This window comes from Homo sapiens, chromosome 8, assembly GCF_000001405.40.
Source record: "Homo sapiens chromosome 8, GRCh38.p14 Primary Assembly".
Classification (NCBI taxonomy): Eukaryota; Metazoa; Chordata; class Mammalia; order Primates; family Hominidae; genus Homo; species Homo sapiens.
In genome coordinates this window covers 30982947-31006933 of record NC_000008.11, presented here as the reverse complement: position 1 = coordinate 31006933, position 23987 = coordinate 30982947, and the positions used below count along the sequence as shown (strand labels likewise).

General features: G+C 38.3%; 1 protein-coding gene and 1 pseudogene across 2 annotated transcripts in view; both read left to right on the top strand.

Moving 5' to 3' along the window:
- The window catches only part of PURG (purine rich element binding protein G), a 37555-nt gene extending 26423 nt beyond the window's left edge, over positions 1–11132 (top strand). For both annotated transcript variants that reach the window (NM_001323312.2, NM_001015508.3), the window contains one exon: positions 10237–11132. In NM_001323312.2, coding sequence (NP_001310241.1) covers positions 10237–10341 — 105 coding nt within the window. In that variant the 3' untranslated portion in view covers positions 10342–11132. The remainder of the gene's footprint in view (positions 1–10236) is intronic.
- LPGAT1P1 (lysophosphatidylglycerol acyltransferase 1 pseudogene 1) lies at positions 22613–23664 on the top strand (annotated as a pseudogene).

Below are 23987 nucleotides of genomic sequence, written 5' to 3'. Positions count from 1 at the left end.
GTTTCAGAGCTTTTTAAAAAAAACTAAGTATGTGCCTATGCTTTTCCTTTTTAACCATATTGAATGTGTAATGTTGAGTTAGAAGACACTGTGTGAGGTAAGAAATGGCAGTTCAAGGGGAACAAGAACATTCGTTTATTCAGTCAACAAATATGGATTGAGTTCCTCCCATAGGCCCAGCATTGTACTAGGGAAATTGCTCACTATTTTTATTTTTCCCCTCTAACCTAAGGTGGAGATGATAATGAATAGTAAAATTACATGTTTTAGATGTCTTTGTATGTTATAGGTGGATTTGGGACAGCAAAAGCCTTTGGTGTGTTTCACTTGGAATTACAAAAAGAAGTAAATTAGAGAAATAATTGTCTGACTTCTGATGATAGGGTGTTTTTGTTTTTGTTTTTGTTTTTGTTTTGAGACGGAGCTATTCTCTTGCCTCAGTCTCCCGAGTAGCCGGGACCACAGGCGCCCACCACCACGCCTCGCTAATTTTTATATTTTTAGTAGAGACAGGGTTTCACCATGTTGGCCATGGCTCGTCTCAATCTCCTGACCTTGTGATCCACCCTCCTCGCCCTCTCAAAGTGCTGGGATTACAGCCGTGAGCTACCACACCCAGCCTTCTGATGACAGTTTTAATTTTGTAGATGAATTTGGCATGACGTGGATGAATTCTGTCAAGGTCATTATTGTTTTCTTCTCAAAACCAATAGAATTTTCTCACTTACTTATTTTTAGAATTGTCAGGTAGTGTAATAAAGTTATTTCTGTAGGAAACTGGGAATTCATTGGCTATTTGACTCTGAATGTAACCTCTTTAAAGCTGATGAACGAGTGGCCCCTTATATTTGAAGTGGTAAGGTAGTCATAAGTTAGGCTCCCAGACACTGGCATTCAACGTGATTTTGAAGTGTGATAGACCATGTATACACTTGATTGTGCACCAAGAGGCATAAGGTAAAATCTTGTTTCCTTCCCACCTGTAAGTGTTAAGTGCATCAGTCTCCTTTCTCTACTGGTGGTGTCCTGTTGCTCCACTAGTAGCCCCTGATATAAAACCCGTGTCCTCCATAGATAATTAGTCATGAATCCCTTTCCAGGGCGTGTTGTTCTCTATGTGGTGATTTGAAGGGAGAAGTTTTGAAATGAAAAAAAAAAAAAAGAAAAAAGAAAAATGCTAAGCAATTTCTGATGCTTTAGAAGGAATGTCGTGTTTCATTACAATGCATTTTAACATTTTTATTAAGATATAATTTAATAAAATGCTCAGATCTTAGCATGTCATTCAGTCAGATTTGATGAATATGAAGACACATTTCTGTCACCCCAGAAAGTTCCCATGTACCCCTCCTCAGTCAACACTCCCCCGACCCTGACTTCCAAAAGCAACCACTGATCAGATGTCTATCACCACAGATTAGTTTTGTGTATTCTGGAATCCCCTGTTAATTGCATGTATTTTTCTTTTCTTTTCTTTTCTTTTCTTTTTTTTTTTGTTTTGGTGACAGGATCTCACTCTGTTACCCAGGCTGGAGTGCAGTGTCACAATCTCAGCTCGCTGCAACCCCCACCTCCCAGCTTTAAGCAATTCTCATGCCTCAGCCTCCCAAGTAGCTGGGACTACAGGCACATGCCACCACGCCCAGCTAACTTTTGTATTTTTTGTAGAGATGGGGTTTCACCATGTTGCCCAGGCTGGTCTCAAACTCCTGAGATCAGGTGATCTGCCCATCTCAGCCTCCCAAAGTGCTAGGATTATGGGCATAAGCCACTATGCCTGGTCTGCGTGTATTTTTCTCTGTTTGGCTTATTTCACTCAACATAATAATTTTGAGATTGTCCATGTTTTTGAGTCTGTCAGTAGAGTGTTTCTTTTATTGCCTGATGATACTTTTTTAAAACAGGCAAGAAATAAGCAGATCGTCACTGAATATCTTGATTGACACATAACTACTATTAAAATCATGGCAGCAAACCTGTAGTAAGAATGCAGGGGGAGAAAATACCCTCTTATATTAATATTAAGTGACAGTACTTCTAACATCCAAACAACTCTCCCACCTTAATTAGCGTTATATGCATCAAGAGCTACTCTTTTGGAAGACTCTAAATTACTAAAAACAGAACCTGAGTTCGCATCAGGAATTGTAATAGCCGTAAACCTATGACTGTTTCCATCGCTTTATAGTTCTGCTTTGACTTCAGAAACTAGTTTGAAAAATAATCCCATTTAAGGATATTCTTTTGTTTTGTTTTTTTTTGAGACAGAGTCTTGCTCTGTTGCCCAGTCTGGAGTGCAGTGGCACAATCTTGGCTCACTGTAACTGCAACCTCTGCCTCCCTGGTTCAAGCAATTCTCTTGCCTCAGCCTCCCTAGTAGCTGGCACCTGCCACCATGCCCAGCTAATTTGGGTTTCACCATGTTAGCCAGGCTGGTCTCGAACTCCTGACCTCAAGTGATCCACCCACCTCGGGCTTCCAAAGTTCTGGGATTACCTGCGTGAGCCACTGTGCCCAGCCAAGGATATTTTTCTTGTAGTATCTCCATTATCAAAACGTGCTGGAAAGGATGTTTTACTTGTTTATCAATATGGTGATGCCTCAGGAGCTTTTAAGCCCTCTTAAAATTATGTAATATAGACCTGATGAACTCAGTTTTATTATTAGAAACTCATTTTGATCTGTAATTCCAAGCAAATATTATATAAATGAAACAAGAGTAGATACAGTAAGAGCAGCATCCAGATTGCATTTTTCTTCTTTTGAAAGTCCTAATTAAATTGTTTGCCATGTTATGCAAAGATTCATTGAGATTCTGGGGAGTGGCAGTAAATTTAAGCAAAGATTATACTGTGATTCTGGGGAGCCATAGTAAATTGTGTATCAACAAATCTAAAGGGTGAATTTTTACTTTCTGCTTATTGTCTTTTTCAAGAAAATTCTATAGTTACCAAAAAGGTGGCTGAATTTTGACATAATAAAGGAGAAGGTTGAGCTGGCCTTTGGCTAGTCCACCCCTATTCTTACCATCTCCACCTTCAAGACTGAAATAAGGAGCTGCAGGAGCACAAAGAGATCCCAAAACATTGTCACATACCAATAGCCACTTTCTTACTTTTACAAAAAGTTAGTATGGTGTTTTTTTTGTTTTTTTGTTTTTTGGTTTTTTTTTGAGATGGAGTCTTGCTCTGTCACCCAGGCTGGATTGCAGTGGGGCGATCTCGGGTCATTGCAACCTCCACTTCCCAGGTTCAAGCGATTCTTTTGCCTCAGCCTCCCAAGTACCTGGGATTACAAGTGGGCACCACCATGCCCAGCTAATTTTTGTATTTTTAGTAGAGATAGGGTTTTGCCATGTTGGCCAGGCTGGTCTCAAACTCCTGATGTCAAGTGATCTGCCCACTGTGGCCTCCCAAAGTGCTGGGATGACAGGTGTGAGGCACTGTGCCCAGCCAGTTTTCTGTATTTGTACAATTATTCAGCCAGAAAAAAAGTAGCCATATAGTACTATAATGCTTATATCACTTCAGTGGGAAAAAAAAAATAATGGTACCCAAAAGAAATAAGAAATATAGCCTGATTAGTGAGAGAACACTGATAAAGTTTCAGATTATTCCCGTTCTTGAAATATTTCTCATTCGCTTTTCTTATTTCTTTCACCTACGACTAAAATACACGTGCTTTCCTTTTCCCCTATCATACTTACTTTTTTGTTCAGGTTCCTAAGTTGTTTTACCATCTTCATATTTCATTCTGATAATTCCAAAAATACTGAAATGAATCCTCCCTTTCACATGACCTACTTTAGTGTAGAATTTGGCCTAAGTCATTTCTCATACAAAAGCAGTTACATTTGAATTACCAAGAGAATCTTGTTGGTATAATTTAACCCAGAAGGGCAACTCACAGTGCTGTCATACTAAGCCTCAAGGATATATCTTCTCAAGATTGATAAGTGCTTTTGAGCAATCGCTCAAAAGTATGAATTGAAGTCTCTAAACAGTTCATTATCGTTTTGGTTGTAGTAATTAATTTTAATTAAACTGCCGATAATGTTTGTTCCAGATGAAAAAATGAGGATATGGTCTTTGTTCCCACTTGAATATGAACACTGCTATCCATTTAATGTTAGAAAGATAAAAGAGATCTCGGCCGGGCACGGTGGCTCACGCCTGTAATCCTAGCACTTTGGGAGGCCGAGGCAAGTGGATCACCTGAGGTCATCAGTTCGAGACCAGCCCGGCCAACGTGGTGAAACACCATCTCTACGAAAAATACAAAAATTAGCCAGGTGTGGTGGTGAGTTCCTGTAATCCCAGCTACTTGGGAGGCTGAGCCAGGAGAATCACTTGAACCCAGGAGACAGAGGTTGCAGTGAGCCGAGATCATGCCATTGCACCCCAGCCTGGGCTTCAGAGAGAGACCCTGTCTCAAGAAAAATAAAAATAAAGTAAAATATTTTACATGGTATCATTGCAAAAGAAGGAGTAATGGTGGTTTAAAGAAAACGTTTAATACAGTTATTCAAGAGTTCCAACACATCAAACTTTTGGGATTTAACTATCCTTTTTTAAAAGAAAATATATTTTGAATACTGTACAGATTCCCATCTTATCAGAGGAAGAACCAGTTAGCATAACATAGAATTTTAGGGCTAGAAGAGACTTTCAACATCATCAAGTCTTACCTCTCGGTATTCAATAGTTCAATATAATTATTATCTTTTTACAGGTCTTAGCTTTCCTGCCCTAATTTCCAAAACAATGAAGAACTAGTAGTCCCCAGATCCCCTTTGTATATATGTATAACTGCCTTTTCATTCCCTCTGATAGTCTCCATATTCATGTTAATGATTGCAGCTATGAGGATTATTTCCTTGATTCATTATGCCTGAATTAGCTTAAGAAAAGAATAGTCTACCAGAAGCACAACTTTTAATTTAAATGTTTGGCAAAGGTAAAGATGAGTAATTCAGAGTTTTAGAAGTAGTTGTAGTAATAGTCAATTGTGTCATTGGTTCTCTGGAAAACACATCATATGGATTTTGCCATAGCGATTCAGGCGTGAGTAATACTACCCTATTCAAGAGTAATACTACCCGATTCAAGAGTACCACTTCAAGAGTGAGTAATACTACCCTATTCTTTAAGACAAGTAATACTACCTACCACATTGTATGGGTGAAGCAAAAGTGGACCAGCACAGCTTTTTGTGGGGGTTAGTGGTAGGAGAGTGTTATAGTGAAGTTCTTTGTTCTGTTTTCTCAGTCTCATTTCTCATTCATTCATTAAATCAATAGATATTTATTTTGCCTGTGGTATGAGCTAACCATTTCTCTGGGTCTGGATAATATAGCAGACAACAAGATCCAGTCTTTGGCCCCAAAGAGCATACAGTACGGGTACTCACAACATGGACAATGCTAGATAACTGCCCAGAGAGCAGAGAAGCTACATGAGATCATTATAAACCTGTGCACCTGAACCACTGCACAAGCAATGCATTAACTTTGCCTTGCTCATTGGGATATGGTGAGAAATAACTGTTATAATTAGTTGTGAAGCACTTTGGAAATGAAAAGAGCTACAAAGCAACTGAATGAAAGAAAACAATATTAAATTATAGGGTAGAAATGATTCTCATAGGTATGTTCAGTATTTATGTCAACGATATAGGACTATTACCAGGGAAAAGCTATTTTAGGTAAATACAATTGCCTAGCTTTTACAAAGTCAAGAAAATACGTGTGTGTATTAACAAGATAAATTGTGGAATGTTGTATTATTTTGGGTATTATGTGAGCTAAATATAGTTGGAATATCACACATACTATGAAGTTTCTATAAATCTGCAGCTTCTATTAAGAATTTCTGTATTTCAATGTTTATCGGAAGTATTTCTCCAATATTTAAATGCTGAAACTATCCAAGACTATTATTCACAAACAACGGATTATATTTTAATACTCAGAAACTGTAGGAAGGTTTGTTAAATAAGATGAATATCCTGTGATTAACTTGCCAGTATGTTGGGTTCAGTGATTTATTATGCCTGGTCTTTTCTGATTTTAGTTAATGTTTTTAAAGTTTGTTAATTCTCTCAGAAGATGAGGATGCCAATTTATATCCCATTATACACCCTCAAAAGATGAATTTATAGAATGGGCCATGTCTTTAACATGCTTCTATATAGTCATTCTTATACCTAAGATTCAGATGCTCAAGGAAGGGACCCATTTAGACAGTTATTTAATGTTCTTTGACTATGAACTAATCCTAATTTTAATTTTAGTACTTTTATGTTCTTACCAGCTTTCACCCTAATTAAATGGGGCACTACACCGCAGAGTTTAGCCTGTGGTGTAGCAGAGCCCAGGTCATCTGTCACAGAGAATCGTAATCTTACATTCTCTCTCTCCTCTGAACAATAGAATTTTGAGGTGGGGGAGAATCTTAGTTTATAATGAGGCAACTCTAGTTTTATCACACTCAGAAACAACAAAAATATTCAAAATTTAACTTTCTGTGCATTCCATTTATTTGCAAATATATATCAGTATGATTATTACATGAGTAAGAGATCTTCATTTTTTACTGTCATCCCTGATTTGCCAAATTTGATGGAGAACCTCCACAGAGTTGCATATTATTTTATTTGTTCCACATGTTGGTGCTTTGTTCTCTACTGTCCTTTTGTCATTATATTATCTCTGAACATTTCCATTTAGTGTTTCTATTTAGAGTAAAGAAATAGAAGCATGAAAATTAATAACCCATGCATCATATTTTTTGCTGGACTTTATAGGAATGACCAGCTAAGGCTAGAAACCTCAGTGTTTAATACTGTTTTCAAAATTTGATTGTTACATATATTGTCATTTCAGTGACTGGAGACAAGATGTATATGTAGACAAATAGATAAAAACAGGGTAATTAAACCAGTGTGGTTTTTTTTTATTTTAAAGGAAAACACATACGACTTATGTACATTGCATGGCAGAGTATTACTAAAATTCGCCTAAACAAACCGTCACGATGTTTTCAGGTTTTATGGTAATGCTTTGACTATATAGTATTTGGATTTGAATCCTCATAATCACAAAGTCTCTTAGTTGTTTAAAACAAAAAACAAAGACTATACTGATTCTAGAAAGTATCATCTCCTTGATTATATTTGTGCTAAGTGTATGAATCTGTGCTATACCAGTATGAAAAAGGTAAAACTGTATATATATTTACATTTTGAAAAGTAGCATTGTGCATTTTAGAAAAATATTTGTCAACTTGTGGCACTTTGGCAAAGGAATGTGCAATTATAAAGGTTAATGCCACTTTATTTTTTTCTAATTCCCAGTAATTATTCTTACTAGGCTTTAGAGTCAAAATCAAACCCAATTTTAAGACTAGCACTTTTTTCCTACTGGTAATTCCTGTTTTTCTAATTACACAAAATGTTTAACTTAAACTATTCTTTGCAATGAGTTTTAGCTTTCCTCCTCTATCCTAATTTCAAAACCTTTAATTTAAGAACCATTTAAAATTAATCCAGTGGTAACCAGAAGAATATTTTAGGTATCATGACCACTTAATCTTGTGCCTGATTTTAGTAATTTTCTGATAAAAATAACTGAATTCCTGAAAAAGAATATTCAAACTTTTTAATTAGTTTTCATTGGTCATAAATAATTGAGTAGTTGATGTCCATATAGTCATAATTTATCTAAACTCTGGAGCTGCCAAGACAACTAAGTACACAGAAGTGCTTAAAACACACCCATATCCCCTAAAGAGAAATGACAAGACTTGGAAGCATCAGAATTCTGTATTATTATGAGTATCACATATATATATGCTATTTTATATATACATATATACCCATACACATACATTCTGTTAGGTTACCAGTATTTTACTGTCATGCACCCATGGGTAGTAGAAACAAAATAAAAATAAATATAAATGTTTAACTTTAGGTGTTGGCACCAATATAGATTATGCATAAACTGTTGCAATAAAAGATACTCATTGTGCCTGTACCTGAAAAATTTACCTTAGGTTTTCTCTGGCCTTTTTTGTTTAGGCCTGCATGATCATTTTAAATGTAAAGATAGCAGGATATATGAATGAATGGATAAAATGATGGCCCTGTTTGCCATGGGATTAACTATTCTGTTGAATTTTCTGAGGGGCATTGGCTGCTGTATATTACGCCATAAACTATATTGTTCAGAAGCAACATGAGTGTATCACAGCATTTAGAAATTATACATCCTTCGCTTTCCCCACAAAATGAATTCAGAATCGACATTCAAGTTTATAATTTTAAGCTGCTAATTATAAAAATATATTAATACCTTAGGGATTGAAGATTACATGAAATAAGAACTACAAAAGAATGCTAATTAATAACATAACTCCATATGCTATCAAACTTCTGATAGCACTGAGTTTCTTATAAAGCCTTAAAATATTTTAATGATAAATTAATTACCTGGAAAAGAAGGCACTTTATTACCTTGAACTAGCTATTCGTCTGTATAGAATATGTCAAAAATCCCTTAAATTATTCTTTATCCTTTTATAAATTTATCCTAGTTACATGTTTTTCTGAAGCCTCTTATGGTATAATGTGTTAATTCAAAAACTATTGTAACTTAACAGAAAAATTGTTACCAATATAACCAATGAACAATACAGAAATAAAACTCAAGAATAACAAAAGTATATGTGATAACAAGACTGTTAGTCTAAGTTAGTCTACAATCATTTGAGATTTTAAAATGTTGTAAAATTTGAAGGCTTTTTCATTGAACAATTTTTGGACAGTTTTTATTTTTAAATCTCACTTTTAATTGGTACTGCCTTGTCTTGAAATGTTGATCAAATGTAAAGGCAATCATAATTATTAAGCCAGTCCATTATAATTCAATTTTGTTTTAGTTGAGATTTTTTAGTGTAATTCTAAAACATTAAAACATCTGTTTGTTTCTTTTTTGCTCAAGTCAGCCATGCCTGGTGAACTATCAAATTTAAATCATCAACATGGATGTGCTGCTGTGTATAGCTGTTTCCTCTTCAGAAAATTAGTGCTTGATTTATACAAGGAATTTAGTTCAGCAGAAAAAGCATAGGATAATTTTTTCAAAAGGGTTCAACCCTCTCAAGTGAAACCTTAACATCTTTCTGACATTCATAAGGATAGGCTTTTATCCAAGAAATTTTTTCAACAGAAAATTATTTCAAAGTGGACAAACTCCACTTTCTTTTTTGCTTGAGGGGCAGTACACTTTTACAAAAACACATTTTTCTGTAAGTTTACTTATCTTTAAGTCATTCTCTGTGGTGGCCATTTTTCCATCTCTAATTTTAAATGTTTTACTAAATGTACGTGCAGTTTCATAGACAGTCTGATCATTACATGATTACAGAAAGGAGTCAAGTTTATCAGAGGTCTATCCTTGTGAAGGGGAGACCAAACACAAATTCCATGTCAGTTGTTTGGTTTGGTTCTTTGTTTTCTTTTAAAAACAAGATATATTAACCCAAAGGTGTGTTAATGTCATGGCATGAACAATCTTCAATGTAGACCTATTGAGTATTTTGTGATGCTGAGTAACAGACGTTTCTCAACTCTCTGTGATGCTAAATATTTTCCTTAGGAAGTTTTGTTTAATGTTAGATTGTTGTTCTGAAAGATGTTGGTCCTAGTGGGATTTTTTTAAACTTGGAAAACAAATAAACGCATGTATTACAAATATAGAAATGGTGAATTGTAAACTTACCATATAGTACTGATTTCTATTTTCAAAAATGTTTTGCTGTTAAATATATACAACATAAAATTGCTGCCGTACTGTAATTGAGTACTTTTTCCTAAACGACCCTGTTATCACTATTCCAGAATTAGAAGGTGGGCAGATACATGATTGATTCATGTGTCTGCATAGATGCTTCAAGGTATATTCTTCTCTTGGTGAGTAAAATTATATTTTCCTTGGCATCAATGCATTGAGATCTGAATATACCTGTATCTATCAATCCTTATTACACATTTCTTATGCAGTAGCTTCAAATAGGCCAAAATTGGCCTAGACACAACTAAAAATTGAGGGTTTGTTACATGCTTTCTAACAGAAAGGTTTTCAACGAGATTAATTATGGGTTTGTACTGTGAAAATAGTGGAACTCCCTTGAAAACTTCATGTTTGCTAAATTCAAATTAATATTTTTTCTTTAGCTCACAAATTACCCCAAATCCAGAGAGAATATCAACCTTTTTCACTGTTGTCAAATCAAGCATAAGGAACAGCCCCATGATACTACAAAAACAGTTGAGGAATAAGGAATAAATCTCTTATGTTACACCTCAGAATAAAGGCATTCGGTGAAAGAAATGAACTGAAGTTCATCATGAATGTAAGGCCTCAGTACTTGACATTCCTCCACGGAAGGGAAGACAAGTATCAACACCACTGGCATCATTTCCAAACTGATCTTATGTTGAATAATTTCCACCACATTGAAGTACCTTTCGACTCTATCCAGTTTTTGGGTTTTGTTTTTTTTAATTCATCAAGCCTTTCGTTTTCAAACCACCATTTGTCAGCCTTGAGGTAGAGAGACATATAGATTTGAAAATACTTTCTTAAGAGATCATGTAACTATATAACTCTGAATTTAAAAATTGAGGGGGGAGGGATAATTTCAACCCACTGCCTCTTACCAGAAACATTTTTTTAAATCTGTAACTGCTTTAGTGTTAACAGGGTGCAAGGTGGTTTTTGTCCCGTATTGTTCTTAAAAGGTTCTCATTTATTGTGATTGTATTGTACTGTATGAGAACAAATCATAAATTGCCTTGTATTGTTTATAATAGACCATACCACGTACTACTTCAGTTTTTATGTTCCAAGTTTTTCAGTGATGCATGTTAACAGTTAGGTCCTAAAATTCTGTGGTGCTAATTCTCCCATACCCAATGGTGCTTTTGTGGATGCTAACTGCACACATGCTGAACAAAGCTTGAAGTTTAAAACTTTCCTCCCTTCCTCTGTTTATATGAAGTAAAATGAAATAACTTGAATTTGTCTCAAAGTATCACTGACAATCTAATAAACTTGTTTATATGTGTGATTAGTTTGGATTCTTAATTATTTTAAGGAAAGCATCTCAGCTCTATTGGGCCCCAAAAGTTGATTTTGTGTTTATTTCATTATGTCATTTGTGCCCCCAAATTCGTGGTATCTTTATAAATTTCAATGCAGTTTGTCTGGCTTCCAAAATCATGTTTAGGTAGGATCTATAGAAACTAGACCTATCAGAACTGGAAATAAGTAAGTTGAGAAGATCAAAAATGTGCCAATCCAGTCTATTACAGTGCCTTTATTGTAATTTATTAATAAGGTTTTATCACCTGGTTGAGCCGGGAGATAACACTTGCACGAAAGCAAGTATGCCTTCAAAACCTTTATTGCAACTCACATGACATTGAAAAGGCCATTTCTATATGCTGATATTAAAAGTTCCACTTCTCATATATGAAAATAGGGACAAAAAAATTAATTTTGAATTTTCCAGGACAAACTGACATCATATGCCAGAATGTCATAGTAGATAAACTCATGACAATGGTTTTATTGGATTTTTATCTTCTGCATCTATATTAAATCACAACAGAAGGCCAAGTGAACCTGCTAATATCTTCATGAGGGCAGAGGGCTGTTTCTTCCAAGCCAGGGATAAATTCAATATAAAGGCACTATGTAAATTTGCATTCCGACCTTGGTACTTTGCCTAACTCAAGGGTAATGTTAAAATTTGAAAAGAAAAAATCGAAACAAATGTATTAAATCTCCTTGAGCAACAATCATTGACCATAAATAGAAGATGATCAAACCTATCAATCAGTCAAAGAATCTAGCAGGTATGATGACTGAAATGATATTCCCATACCACTATGGTTCTTTATTATATAAAGAGTTTCAGGCCCAGTAAATTTTTGCCTCAAATAGCTATTAAATTGTGTCTAACTTCTAACATCAGAAAATGAAGTTTAGAGAATAGTGCCAGTGTGAACCCTAAGCTTGCTTCTGTGACTATCTGAAATAAATGCAATATTTACTAAATCACAGCCTCTCACCAAAGATATTTCTACAATATATTTTTGTAACTACCTTAACTGTATTCCATTTTATGAAAACTGGTAAATAATAAATGTACTACAAATTAATTGCACATTTTCTTTTGGAAGAAAAATCTGTTTAATCTACATGAAAATATCTCTAATTTTACACCCACAGTCAACCAGATTTCTGTATTAATTTTCATCATTGTTTGTCCCATCAAAAAGATTATCCTGAAAAATGCATATCAGCTTTCGTTGGTAGTGGTGAAATTTTTTAAAAAACTTATCAGCCTTAAATAACATGAATATATTTTGTAAGTTTTGTTCCTCTATAAAAATAATGTAGTCCCTCTCTAAGTGAAACCATTTTTTAAATTACGTAATTATATCCATTTTCATTGCATTATTAGCATTATTTAGGTAAGTTGTCTTTTCTGTTCCTAAAACAGTAATTTTCCCTTAGAGACCTTATGCTCAAGGTGTTTTCCCTAAATCCTTATGGGAAAGCATTTTCAAAAACAGACCCAAATGTTCTCTTTCCAGTAAGGAAAATCTTTCGTAATAAATTCCATGTACACTAAAAGCATAACAGTACTTGTATTAGGGAAGTAATTTTTCTCATCAGAAATTGCTTTGAGTTTGAAAATGGCCAATAATAATAAAAAGCCAATCTGCAGTCTACATAATTTCAGATTTGTCTTCATGCGATCTTTTTAAAAAACTGTTGAAGTAGGTGCATACTGACTTGCACTAGGACTAAAGTTATTTTTCTTACCTCCTACTTTATCCTTTATCCTTGGCAGGGATTCAAGAGAGGTGAAAAGACTTTTGGAAAATAACTAAAAAGTAGTACAACACACACAAAATAAGGGAGTGGTAGTTCATAGGACTGAATAAATCATGAAATTCAGTGAATTCAGCACTACACATATTATGCCAAATTGTTCTCCTCTTACACTTTTCGCGAAGCAAATTTCCCATCATAAAAGACTTAACAAAACACTGGAACATGAAGATCAAAAGGACTGAATGAAAAGGCTGGCCCTCAGTTTTGTGCATTTGGAAGGTCAGGTTTTTTTTTAGCTAAGAAGACTTTGATGAAGGAAGAAGTAAAAAAGAAAAAGAAAAAAAGAAACTCGGTTTTGTTAGTTCATTCTGAGTGAATTCACAAGAGATTCCTTTTAAACAAGGTCATAAAGAAAACATCTTGAATATCAGATATTCAATGGAGAAACCAATTAACTTACAACAAAAAATAAATTGGTACACCCAGGGAGTGGATTGGAAAGAAGCTGTGCATGACAAGTGAACTTTGAAGTTTGCTTTTATACTTTTTGAATATTATTTCATGATAAGCTTGTATTATTTTATAATTTATAAAGTACTTTTTTTTTTAAAGGAAAGAAATCAAATGCTAGACTGACTAGAATACCTATATCAACTGGTCAGCACATTCTCTTTCCAGTAGGAAAATCTGCCTTTTCTTTCTTTTTTTGAGACAGCGTCTGACTTTGTCGCTCAGGCTGCAGTGCAATGGCAGGATCACAGCTCACTGCAGCCTCAACCTCCCAGGCTCAAGCAATCCTCCCACCTCAACCTCCCAAGTAGCTGAGACCACAGGCACGTGCCACTATGACTGGCTAATTTTTTATTTTTTGTAGAGACAGCATTTCCCTATATTGCCCAGCCTGGTCTTAAAGTCTTGGGCTTGAGCAATCCTTCCAAAGTACTGGGATTACAGGCATTGAACCACTGCACCCAGCTGGAAAATCTACTTCTAAAACCTGCTTAATGTCAGAACATTGATTGGCAAGCATAAAATCAGGTAAAGGGGAATGACTAATATTCATGAATGGCATCATGTTATGATGGGCTTCATGATACAGACCTGCCAAGAAACAGGAATAACCACATCAGCATATTGGCTCAGAGCACAGTCACCCCAAGTCAGGGATGGAAACCACTAACAAATCCTTATGCTTTAAATCTTTTTTTCTAGATTCCATGTGACCCACCATCTTTCAGTGTGAAAATTATTGCTTATATGATTAAGCCACATATTATCTTGCATTTAGTATCACTTTAGGATTTTCAATGATAGAATACTGTTTTATAAATATCATTCATCATTAAGCATTAACATTAATCATATTACATAATCATATCATTACATTAATGTATAATCATTGTTATTATTTTGCTTGTTTGTTTGTTTTTGAGAAATAGAGTCTCAGTCTATCTCCCAGGCTGGAGTGCAGTGGCATCATCATGGCTCACCGCAGCCTCAAACTCCTGGCCTCAGGCAATCCTCCTGCCTTGGCCTCCCAAAGTGCTAGGATTACAGGCATAAGCCACTGTGCCTGGCCTGTTATTTTTTATAATCATCATTAATCATTAAGTATCATTAATCATTCACTCTTATTATAAATATCATTCATCATTAACAAAAGTTTTACATACAATAGCTCTCTGACCATGACCCTTCTTAATAGAGATTTAGGGAACATCCAAATTCAGCAGAAGTGACTAATGAAAGATCAAGATGTTCCTCCTTTAACCCTCATGGTAGACCTTGCCAATAAACGATAGCAACTGGGAGCAGCTCACACCTGTAATCCCAGCATTTTAGGAGGCCGAAGCAGGCGGATTGCTTGAGCCCAGGAGTTAGAGACCAGCCTAGGCAACATGGTGAAACCCCATCTCTAGAAAAAATACAAAAATTAGCTGGGCTTGGTGGCATGCACCTGTAGTCCCAGCTACTCAGGACGCTGAGGCTGGAGGATCACTTGAGCCCAGGAGGTCGAGGCTTCAGTGGGCTGTGATCATGCTACTGCACTCCAGCCTGGGCGACAGAGCAAGACCCTGTCTTAAAAAAAAAAAAATAGGCCATAGTATTTATTTCAAATGGCCAGATACAGCTCTAGAGTCTTTCTCAACTCAGCACTCTCCTGGCAGCTGCTCCCAGTTGACTACACTTAGCATGCAAGATTGACATAGTTGCCTTTCTACCTTAGACACCCACCAGCACATATACATGCCATCTGTGTTAGTCTGGGTCCTCCAAGAAGCAGATTCCAAGGTGGAATTAGATGTGCAAGAGATTTATTAAAGGAAATGCCAGTGAGGGAAAATGGAGAAGGAGCTGGTGGAGGAGACATCAGACTCAGATGCAAGTCTGCCCCTGTGAGGAAGAGAGGAGGAAAGAGGAGGGAGGTAGAAAGGAAGTTACTTCTTAGACTGCAGCACAATTATAAGCAAGTTTCAGCCAGGCCTAGGGGGAGTCCTTGAGCCAAAGTCACTCTTCAGAAGAGGCCAGCATCTTGAGGGTTCAGCCTGCTTAATATCCCTGTCACACCCAGTTATTGGCTGGGAGCAGCCTAGGAGAAGCCCACCTGCAGGGCAAACGTGACGATAGATTTCAGAGCACCACAGCTGGATCTGTGGGCCAGTTGGGTGGAGACTTAGAGCTGTTCAGTGCCCATAGGAGTCTGTGGTGGCTATGAAAATGCATCTCTCAAATTTCCTTCTACCGGGAGCATAACTGACTCACAAGCTATTTCTGTATTCTGTGATGCTAGTCTTTGGATGGTGTGGTTTTCATGTTCTACTTACACCATCCACCTCCTTTGCTGTGAAGTGGTCCCTTAGTTGGATGCCTCTGTCTCTGCTGCCATGGCCACTCTATTGCTGTGCCCATCCTGCCAATTCTGAGGTGGCCAATGGCAGTCTGATTCAGGTCAACTGTCCGAGTCACTTTGTCAACTTGGTTGTTCAGTGCCTCTCCCATGATGGATGGCTTCTGGTGGACATTAACATGTGATACAAAACTCTTCACAGTCTGGGCTGGGTGTGGTGGCTCACATCTGTAATCATAGCACTTTGGGAGGCCAAGGCAGGTGGATCACTTGAGGCTGGGAGTTGGAGACCAGCCTGGGCAACATGGTAAAACCCCATCTCTACTAAAAATACAACAACAAAAATTAGCCAGGCGTGGTGGCGCATGTCTGTAATCCCAGCTACTTGGGAGGCTGAGGCAAGAGAATCGCTTGAATCCAAGAGGCAGAGGTTGCGGTGAATCAAGATTGCACCACTGCACTCCAGCCTGGGTTACAGAGTAAGACTCCATCTCAAAAAAAAAAAAAAGTTTTCACAGTCTGTGCCTGCTCCCATATGTGCACCCACAAGCTTCTACCCCAGGCCTCTTCGACCCTGTCTTCCAGTCCTTTTCCTCCCAGGCTTCTGGCCAGATAGCCAGACCATCGATCACTGCCCAGGAACTGTAAATATGCTTACCCAGGCCACTTCTTCCTTGCAAAGTAGATGACCAGGTACACTGCTTCCCATTGGGAAGATTCTCCCTCTCCACTGTCTTTCAAAGCCACCTCACCAATTTTCAGTTTGCATCTACATACAGACCCACCTCATCTATAAACCAAGTTCAGTCTTTTCCCTCCTCCTGTAGCTGGTCCTATGAGAACTTCCACATGGCCTTATATGTGAGAGGGGAGAGGGTGCTGATGAATCTATTGAAGGTGAAAGGAATAAGGCGGTTTGGACTGCCTATGCGATCATAGCTCACAGCAGCCTCAACCTCCTGGGCTCAAGGAATCCTCCCACCTCAGCCTCCCGAGTAGCTGGGACTGCAGGCACGCACCACCATGCCTAGCAAATTTTTTTTTAATGGAGACAGGGTCTCTCTGTATCACGCAGGCTGGTCTCAAACTCCTGCCTCAAGCGATCTTCCCACCTTGACCTTCCAACGTGCGGGTATTACAGGCATGTAATAACAGCTTCTCAAAAGGTGTGTAGCTCTCTGCAGTGGTTGGCATGATCTTCTTCTAGGATCCCAGGGGCTGCAAGGTGATTCTCTCCCTGGGGTTTGATACAAACTCTGTCTTTTCCTACTGCTTCTTTTCCCTACACTGACATTCCAAAGGCTTGGATATGCCCAGTCATGCAGACTAAGAACTAAGGCCATTTCACCTGTTGCAGTGCCCTTTCCTGCTCTGAGACCTACTCAAAGCTGGCAGTATATGTGGCACAGCAGTATTCTTATCTGTGGAATGTGTTGTCTCCTGAACCCAAAGAGGTTTGCCAGGATCCTCAGCTTACTGTATGGAGTAGGGATATAAGAGATGCCCGCTTCTTTTTTTTTTTTTTTTTTTTTTACTTTGGTGAAGATGTCCTGGCATGCCCTAATAGACCTCCTAAATAATGTCACTGAAGTGGCAGGAGGCTGAATGTTCCTAGGGTTCATTCTCAAGCCCCCACTTCCCTCAGCCTCTTTATCCCTTCCTCTGATCCTATGGACCAATGAGCAGTGTTGCTTGCACTGCAGCCTGGACCTGTTGCAGACGTCTTTCCTGCTAAAGGCAACTCAGAATTTTCCCCTTCACTATGCATTGGTCATCACTCTTCCCAGACTTCTAAGAACCACCCTCACGGTGAGTTTGCCCTGTTCCCTGGGGTCCTGGCCAACGTGTTAGATCTCAGTTTCTGAGAAATTTCCATTCCAAGCCCTTTGATCAAGCACTCTCAAAGTACAGGCCAAGGTGCCCTCCTCTGGCTCCCACTGCCTTATTCTTGTGGCTCATCTGGTGCATAGTCTCCTTTTTACTTAATCGTCCCCAGCATGTACCCACCCATGTTATGCTGGGACTGAACCTTAAGTATCAGGTGAGAGATGAGGGCACCTACTGGGAAACATGTGTTGCCTTGTGAAGGAGGGGCCTCTGCAGCATCTTCTTACACAATAGAAGCACTAGCTCTTACCAGAAAGGATGGGGCACTTGTGCAAGCCCAAAGGATTGGGAAAGAAGGTGGCAGTCTGCCTAGACAATATATTCAAGGGCCTCCATCTACATACCCTCATCCCAGTTTTCAGGGTCCCAAGTTTTCCCAGAGTCCCAGGTGTTCCCCGAAACCCCCCAGCCCCCACCGCTGGCAACCTATTCTTCACTGAATATTCAAACATCTAGGGATCTCTGCAGTTCTAACTATTTGATTTTCACCTGTTCCACTGTGTCTGCTCTCCCACACTGCAGAAGTTAAGGGCCTTCTTGTAAGATGCCAAAAAGCCTCTTGCCTCCCACACTTAGCCATTTACTGCTTGCTTAACTGCTCTCATTATCCCTTAGCTAGCAGCAATACAACTTAGCAGTAAACAGCCAACAATTCTGCTGTCTTTGAGGACATTTTTCTCTCCATAAGTTTCAAATGCTTCAATCATCACATCTGCAACATCTTTCCTCCCCACCAGGACATCTTCCCAGGTCACCATCGATGAAACCTTTCACCTTTGACTCACCACCTTATGCTACTGACTATCCACACCCCACCTATCAACCAAGTTAATATCCTCTTTGCCCACTGGAGGGTTAGTAGGTCAATTCCAAATCACAATCTTACCACCTGTTTTCTTGGATCATTCTTGATACTACTTTTGGTAGCACAGGACATCTGAGAAGCCAAAGCCAAGATAGGATTAGACACATAAGAGATGTACTGGGTCAAATGCTGGTGAGGGAAAATGGGGAGCTGGAGGAGGCTGGGTGAGACATCAGACTCCATTATGATCCCACCCCTATAAAGGAGAGAACAAAGAGCTTAGTTTGCAGCATTGCAATAAGGAAGATTCAGCAAGGCTAACAGGGAATGCTTAAGCCAAAGGTACTTTTTAGAGGAGTCCTATGTCTTCAGAAATGGGCCTGCCTTAGTATCCTGCCATGAGCAGTCAATGGGAACAGTGAAGGGGAAGTGGAGCCCTGGCCTGAACACAGGAATGGAAGTCAGAACACAGCAGTTTGTGCCTTTAGTTACTTACCCTCCCTGAAGTAGGAGATCAGAGAGGCACACTCCCAGGGCTGCCATGCCATTGCATGGAGGCATTTGAGATCACAAAGCAAATCTCGGGCATTAATGAAATGGTCAGGCTTATTTTGCTCGGTTTGAGAGGGAGATAATTTGTATTCCTATACTCAAAACTGGAGGAAAACAATCACCCTAATTAGAATTGGAACTGACCATAAGTAATAAACTTAAAAGTAATATTAAAGTATTAGTGAATACTCTTAAGCTCAATTGTCAATTTTCTATTGCAAAAAAAATCAAATACTTTAAAACTTCAGAGACTATTTTGGGAGGCTGAGATGGGAGGATACCTTGAGCCCAGCTGTTCAAGACCAGCCTGGGCAACATAGCAAAACTCTGTCTCTACAAAAAAATGAATAAATAAATTAGCTGGGTGTGGTGGCACATGCCTGTGGTCCCAGCTACTCAGGAGGCTGAGGTTAGAGCCACTTGAGCCCCCAGTGGTCAAGGCTGCCGTGAGCCATGATCGCACCACTGCACTCCAACCTGGGCAACAGAGCGAGACTCTGTTTCAAAAAGAACCAAAAAAACCCAAACTATTAATAAAGGGTATTCAATTAGGAAAAGAGGAAGTCAAATTGTCCCTGTTTGCAGATGACATGAATGTATATCTAGAAAACCCCATTGTCTCAGCCCAAAATCTCCTTAAGCTGATAAGCAACTTCAGCAAAGTCTCAGGATACAAAATCAATGTACAAAAATCACAAGCATTCTTATACACCAACAACAGACAAACAGAGAGCCAAATCATGAGTGAACTCCCATTCACAATTGCTTCAAAGAGAATAAAATACCTAGGAATCCAACTTACAAGGGATGTGAAGGACCTCTTCAAGGAGAACTACAAACCACTGCTCAAGGAAATAAAAGAGGATACAAACAAATGGAAGAACATTCCATGCTCATGGGTAGGAAGAATCAATATCGTGAAAATGGCCATACTGCCCAAGGTAATTTACAGATTCAATGCCATCCCCATCAAGCTACCAATGACTTTCTTCACAGAATTGGAAAAAACTACTTTAAAGTTCATATGGAACCAAAAAAAAGCCCGCGTCGCCAAGTCAATCCTGAGCCAAAAGAACAAAGCTGGAGGCATCACACTACCTGGCTTCAAACCATACTACAAGGCTACAGTAACCAAAACAGCATGGTACTGGTACCAAAACAGAGATATAGATCAATGGAACAGAACAGAGCCCTCAGAAATAATGCCGCATATCTACAACTATCTGATCTTCGACAAACCTGAGAAAAACAAGCAATGGGGAAAGGATTCCCTATTTAATAAATGGTGCTGGGAAAACTGGCTAGCCATATGTAGAAAGCTGAAACTGGATCCCTTCCTTAAACCTTATACAAAAATCAATTCAAGATGGATTAAAGACTTAAACGTTAGACCTAAAACCATAAAAACCCTAGAAGAAAACCTAGGCATTAGCATTCAGGACATAGACACGGGCAAGGACTTCATGTCTAAAACACCAAAAGCAATGGCAACAAAAGACAAAATAGACAAATGGGATCTAATTAAACTAAAGAGCTTCTGCACAGCAAAAGAAACTACCATCAGAGTGAACAGGCAACCTACGAAATGGGAGAAAATTTTCACAACCTACTCATCTGACAAAGGGCTAATATCCAGAATCTACAATGAACTCCAACAAATTTACAAGAAAAAAACAAACAACCCCATCAAAAAGTGGGCAAAGGACATGAACGGACACTTCTCAAAAGAAGACATTTATGCAGCCAACAGACACATGAAAAAATGCTCATCATCACTGGCCATCAGAGAAATGCAAATCAAAACCACAATGAGATACCATCTCACACCAGTTAGAATGGCAATCATAAAAAAGTCAGGAAACAACAGGTGCTGGAGAGGATGTGGAGAAATAGGAACACTTTTACACTGTTGGTGGGACTGTAAACTAGTTCAACCATTGTGGAAGTCAGTGTGGCGATTCCTCAGGGATCTAGAACTAGAAATACCATTTGACCCAGCCATCCCATTACTGGGTATATACCCAAAGGACTATAAATCATGCTGCTATAAAGACACATGCACACGTATGTTTATTGCGGCATTATTCGCAATAGCAAAGACTTGGAACCAACCCAAATGTCCAACAATGATAGACTGGATTAAGAAAATGTGGCACATACACACCATGGAATACTATGCAGCCATAAAAAATGATGAGTTCACGTCCTTTGTAGGGACATGGATGAAATTGGAAATCATCATCTCAGTAAACTATCGCAAGAACAAAAAACCAAACACCGCATATTCTCACTCATAGATGGGAATTGAACAATGAGAACACATGGACACAGGAAGGGGAACATTACACTCTGGGGACTGTTGTGGGGTGGGGGGAGGGGGGAGGGATAGCACTGGGAGATATACCTAATGCTAGATGACGAGTTAGTGGGTGCAGCGCACCAGCATGGCACATGTATACATATGTAATTAACCTGCACATTGTGCACATGTACCCTAAAACTTAAAGTATAATAATAATAATTAAAAAAAACCCAAACTATTTTAAATTACAAATATCTCACATATATATCTTATCTATTGAATGAAAACCATTTCTTTCAATATACAAAAAGCTAAGTTCGTACAAATAGAAAGTATAAAATGATTTTCACTTAAAAGATGATTTTAAAATGATTTTGATATGACATATTTAATAGCAAAACTCTACTATTCGTTTTCCACAGTTCAATGAATAGTCCTCCAAATTAATTATATACATATATTAACATATGAATATAATTAAAAAAATCTTTTTGTATGTCCAAGCATATATGTGTATGTATATCAATTAATTTGGAATATATATACATTTTGAGACAGAGTCTTGCTCTGTCACCCAGGCTGGAGTGCAGTGGCACAATTTTGGCTCACTGTAACCTCCACCTCCCAGGTTCAAGTGATTCTTCTGCCTCAGCCTCCCGAGTAGCTGGGATTGTAGGCATGTGTCACCACACCCAGCTAATTTTTCTATTTTTTTTTTTTAATAGAGATGGGTTTTTGCCATGTTGGCCAGGCTTGTCTCAAACTCATGGCCTCAAGTGATCCACCCACCTTGGCCTCCCAAAGTGCTGGGATTACAGGCATGAGCCACCACACAGGGCCTTAATTTTTAAGTAAAATTATGTTTTACTATACCTAATTATGCTATATCCATATTACTTTTCTTAACATTACAACTTTTGCTCTTCACAGCTTTTTAAAAATAATACTTAAAAAGATTGATTAGCCAGGTGTGGTGGCAGGTGCCTGTAATCCTGGCTACTCAGGAGGCTGAGGCAGGAGAATCGCTTGAACCGAGGGGACAGAGGTTGCAGTGAGCTGAGATCATGCCATTGCACTCCAGCCTGGGCAAAAATAGCGAAACTCCATCTCAAAAAAATACATATATATACAAAAACTAGCTGGGCGTGGTGGCGTGCACCTGTAATCCCAGCTACTTGGGAGGCTGAGGCAGGAGAATCACTTGAACCCGGGAGGTGGAAGTTGCAGTGAGCAGAGATCGCACCACTACACTCCAGCCTGGGTGACAGAGCTAGACTCTGTCTCAAAAAAAAAAAAAAAAAAAAAAAAGAATGGGGAAGAGATATTAAAGCAATCTCAAAAGATGAAGCAGTGATGTTGGGGAATCATCCGGCTACAGCAGATGTGTGCGCACTGATGATGTGCCTCCAGGACGAAGGACTGGGTGCTGCTCAGATGATGTGGTTGATGGATCATATTTTTAAGAACACAAACTTTGGAATTGTTTCTTTAGTTCACGGAGACTTTTTTATAAGACAGGGAAGATGTTATCGTGACCAACAGCTGCTGCTTCTCAAGAAGCACTTAGAAAGTAATTACAGGAGCAGAGATTGAAAATGAATTATTTCGTTTCCAGAAAGGGGCTTCCTCAGGAAGAGGTGAGAAACAAGTCAGGCATTTGCAGAGAAAAATAACTTGCCATTTCTTACACATGTTACTCTGTAAAGATCTGTGGCAACTAAAATTATTCTGAATGCACTTGTAGCACAACAGGGAAATGGAAGTCCAGCAAGAGGAGATGCTAAAGAATTAGCAAATCAAAAGGCCTCCAGTGGGTAATAGATACAACGATAGCTTATCCTAAAGCTGAACCTATCAATATTCAAACCTGGATCCTTGGGTTCAGGAAACCAACAGTCACACATGTACATTACAGGATCTTTCCAGTTAAAGATGTATCTCTGGAGACTGGTGACCTTACCAATGGGATCTATCTATGGTTTACTGAAAAAGAGGACCTCTTATCACATTTTTATGAAACAGGAGCTTTTCCACCTTCCAAGGGCCATAAGGAAGCTGTTTCCAGGGAAATGACCCTCAGAAACATGTGGATATTCCTCACACAGTCTTTTGCATTTTTGTCAGTCTATATGTGGTACAACATCATTCAGTATTTTTACCATTGCCTGTTTTAGGAATTGACTTGGACTTGTGAAGGTCACCATAGGAGTTCAGACTTTCTTTCATAAGTGTGCATTATTTTACATGTGTGAATCAGAATATATTTTAAAAAGCAAGAGAAATTCTGTGGATGGATTAATATTTATCACCCTTTGGGGTATTTTAAAACTCTACTGAAATGATGATTAGTAATAAAAAGAAATTGATATGTACTTCATATAACATAAAATTCGCTATTTGAAAGTATGCATTTGGTTGTTTTATTATATTCACTGTGTTGTGTAACCATCACCATATCACCTAGAATATTTTCATCCTTGCAAAAAGAAATGCCGTATCTATTAGCAATCAGTCCCAATTCTTCCTCTCACTCAGCCTCTGTCAGCCACTAATCCACTGTCTCTAGGGGTTCCCCATTCTGGACATTACATATCAACGGAATCATACAATATGTGGCTTTCTATGTCTGGCTTCTTTCAGGTTAACCCACGCTGTAGGATATACCAGTACTTCATTCCTTTTT